This window comes from Homo sapiens, chromosome 2 (assembly GCF_000001405.40).
Source record: "Homo sapiens chromosome 2, GRCh38.p14 Primary Assembly".
Lineage (NCBI taxonomy): Eukaryota > Metazoa > Chordata > Mammalia > Primates > Hominidae > Homo > Homo sapiens.
In genome coordinates, this window is record NC_000002.12 from 176,789,408 (window position 1) to 176,793,835 (window position 4,428).

Here is a 4,428-nt window from a genome sequence, read left to right on the forward strand (position 1 = left end):
CTTCCAGAAGCTGCATAGCCAGAAGTCAATTTTTCCCATTGATATTGGACCAACTGAAAGAATAGAAAGATTAAATTGATGAGAGGATTGGCTGTCATATAGAGCTTTTCTCTCATCTTTGGCCAAGAAGGGAGAATCAAACATAGTGCTCAAGGCTTCAATTGGAGTAGGCACTCAACTAATATTTATTGCATGAATAAATGAATGACTGACTGGAGAATAAGTGTTTCCCTTCATTAATAGTATATCTTTCCCTTAACTTGTTTAAGTTCCTTCTATGAGAACTTCTAATGAGAAGCTTTGACTCACAATGTTGTAAATATTGCTGTTTCTGTCTTATATAGACCAATTATTACATTAAAATTGTAATATCTTTTACTTCTCTTTCTTGGAGAAAACTTCCCAGGGACAGTGAGACTTTTTTCAGACAAACAGCTGCTTTGGAATTCATAAAACCACTGGTATTTTAAACTCTACAGATGATACCAAAATGTTTTTTTTAAAAACTAAAAAGAATAACAGACGGAATTTATTATCTCATCTTGGGAGTGGGGGCAGTGCAGCATGCACTTAGATCAAGAAATTTCCTGAGTTGTGAGTGGATGTGACTCACTTTTTATACCAAGGCCATGGAATATTAAGGGACCATTTTCCATCTCTATCTTCCTGAAATGGTATCATTTCTACATCATTGATGATAAATGTATTATGTTTTCTGTTAAATATCCTATTATCTGGGGGAAAAAAGAGGCATTGGTGTTACCAGTGGTTAGAAAAGAACCTTTGTATATCTCTAAGTTTTTACATCTTTAATTGGGATTATTCTTTTCTCTATTTCTCTCTCTCTCTCTACCCCCTTCTTTTCTTTCTTTCTTCTTCCTTTCTCTCTTAATATACATCTACTTCTCTTGAGCAATTACATGTCTTTGGTAACTCTCATCAACATAAATTGTCAACATTATTATGAGCCTGTGAGTTTTCATCCTGAAGTGATGCAGTGGAAGTTTCACTGAGGCAATATCTTGGTGATATTCTCCTTCCAGTAGGGCTGGGTTGTTGGGCTAAATGTGCAGTTGAAGAGAGACCCCCACCCCCACCCTCCAGAATCACCAAGAAAGTTCTGTGGTTATCGACAGTGGGAATTGAGCCAGCTACAGTTAACTTTCAACAATAAACCAACTGGGATATCTCTGTGTCCTCATCAGCATGTGCATTCAAATGAGCTCCCATTAGCATTATTATCCCAAATTTCTTTCTTTTGTCCCACCCTGCTGAAGCATCCCTGCCAAGGCCTCCCAGTGAATTCCTGGGAGTCCCCAAGGAGTGTCTCGCCTCCTCACATGCCTGCCAGTCAGGTCCTTAAGCAGCCCCACACCTTCCTCTCCTGGATCCTCCACCCATGCCAGGCTGGAGGGAACCTCACTATAGCACCAGCTGGTGGTGCCTATGGTAAGAACGAAGTGTAACACTGGTGACATCTCCCTAACCCGCTAGTCTTCAAGAAGCCAGAGCTGTCTGGGTGCCTCAAAGAAGTAGGGGAGAATGGTCCTCAACCCTAGTTCTGTGCCATACTTTGATATGCACAAGAGTGGCCATGTTGGGGTCCAGGTGACAATGTCTCTTGAAAATAGCTCCTTCAGACTCTGGCCCTTACCCTTCTACCCACCAGGTGATAACCCAGTCCAGGGGATCAGTTGCAGATGGAGGTTAGATCATGGCTTCAACTCTCCATGGCTATGCCCCCATCTCAAAACTATGCAAAACAACAAACAGAAAGAAGTCACTACCACCACCACCAACACACTCTCCTTGCTCCAAAAACAAGAGCTCTTGTGGATATCAGATTATACAAAGTTGTACGCAGAATAGTCACTACTCTACTCTATGCTGTTCCACAAGCAGCCTAATTCTGACCCTCCACCTGTGCTCAGCAGAGCCTCACGCTACTGTGCTCTACATGGTAGCCCCCACTTTCCATGTTCTGCACACCCTTGCTGGAGACTCCGCCATTCGCTTACTCACTGTGCGTTATAAGCATGATGCAATGAGCATTCCTTGCCTCCTTCACTTGTGCATTCAGCAGTTCTGCTGGTATCAGTTAGCCACAGCTAATGTTGTACATCAAACCACACTCAAACTCCATGGCTTAACAGAATAATCATCTATTCTCCCTCATATATTTGGGTTTGGCTGATCCAGGTTCAGTTCAGCTGGGCTTGATTTCAAGCTACAGATTTGGTCCAGATGTGCTCCTTATGTCTTCTTCACCCTCTTTGGACCAACAGGCTAACCAGGACATTTCTTCTCATGGCAGAAGCAAAAGAAGGGCCAGCCCAACTGCACAAGTACATTTGCAGGCTCTGCTTATATCAAGTCTACTAGTATTCTATCGAGCCAAGCAAGTCACAGGGCCAAACCCCACGTCAATGAAGCAGAGAGGTACTGCCTCCATGGAGGTATAGAGGGGCGGGAATTGGGGATGGTGGACAGGGAGTGAATATTTGCTAAATGATAGATTAGACTATCACAATGCTCAAGCTCTAACTTAAATGGTCAGTAAACAAGTATCAAATGTAGTCAAGAAAATACCAACGGAGCTATTTTTGCCTGAAACAGGCTGCTCTAACAAGTTTATGTGGAAGCATACATCCATGTTTCATATTGTGGGACCATGTGTACAAATGTTTCACATCAAAGCATTACCACTTGCCTTCTTGGTCAGCTCCCAGCTGATTTTGTTTGAAACAGTCACGACTTACTCAGTGAGGGACCTCTGGTTTCCAGAACCAATTCTGCCTTGTCTTTCAAGAAATCATTCCTGCTTTCTCTGCCTTATATTCCATCTGAACTTCCTCTTTCACTATTGCCCCATTTCCATATCTCCTGTGTTCAGACTTCCCTGTTGTCCCAAAATGTTTCTGGAGAAGTCTGTAATAGCTTTCCAAATTCAAAAGAAGGAAAAAAACAGAGGTCCTTTTCTATCACTCTTCTTCCAGCTTAAATTATGTGTGTGTGTTAATATATACATGTATGGGTGTATTTATGTGTTTGTATCTATAAAGAGAATATATGTGTGTGTAATGTAATTATTACTCTTATTACTGGTGATGAAACAGAGATTAAACAAACAAAAACAGTAAAGACATATACAGCACTCACCCCTTCCTGCAGGTGAGGAGAGTTGCAACACTATATTTGGGATCCTTCTTGCTTCTATTGTTCTGCATTCTCTTTGATCTGAAATAGTAACATAGAAATTTTCTTTCACAGGGAAAAAGATATCCTTTTTAGCCACATGTTTAATTCTTCAATGTCAATATTTGCAGAAAACATGAGCACAGCATGATATTGCCTTAGAGTTGTTGATTAATCCCATTCGGAAGCTTCCCTAAGTTTTTTTTTTGATCTTCAGTTCATCATTAGTCTGGTAATGGTGTGTGTGCCTCTGTGAGTGTATTATTGTATTGCCCCAAAGCCTAATAATGATGACAGTGAGGCTTTATTGTGGATTAAGTTTACAGACTTCCTCATTCCCATCCAGTTCCATGGGAGTAATGACTTAACTCAGCTTCCATGGGAAATAGAGACCAGCCATAGATGCCTGAGAGGAGTAATGGTGGCACTGATGTAATCTCCAACCTAGATATGCCAGGGATGTTTGTCACCTGTTTAAGAAGCTAAAATGTCACCATGGAGTCTACAGTTTTTTTGATAACCATTTCATCTACAAAACAAAGGAGGTGTGTGAACACATGAAATGAAAAATAAGAGACACTGTGAGCTAGGGGAGCCCTGGATGCCCTCCAGGAGTCTCTACGTCTTGGGGCACTGAGGTCCTCTCCCAGGGCTGGGCACAAGGAGTCTCTCATTGTGCTCACCCTTTTCCCTGCCTCACTCTGGCTTTTGGATGAGAGTAAATAGAACTGAGAAAATATCAGAAAAGTTGCTCCATAAGAGAAAGGCAAACCATTTTCAGTCTCCTAACCACTCTTCTTCCTTTCTTGAGGCTTAAACCAACTTTAATCACAAAGCCATGAGGCCACTGGTTTTCCCACCCATTCGCTGCAATGTGGGATCAAACATTTTCTTTTTTGTGTCTGTTTATATGATCACTTATGTAGCCTGCAGACTTTCAGAGAGATGCCGTATTGGTTTCCTTCAAATATTAGGGCTTTATTTTATTTTCATTTCCCAAAATATAAAATCTGAGTCCCTTAGCTTGGGATCACTAAGTACCAAGAAATTAGCTGAGTTAAAGTGGCTCACAGAACTTGGGACAATTATAGCTTCTTGCAACGCCAAAAAGTACTTCTGAGCCAAGGTCATTCAGGAAATCTCAGCTAAATAAAAATGTCATTAAGTTTTGTAAAACCTTTTTGCTGGGCAAGAGGTAAAAAATAACTTAGAAACCATTTGAAAATCCTAAAG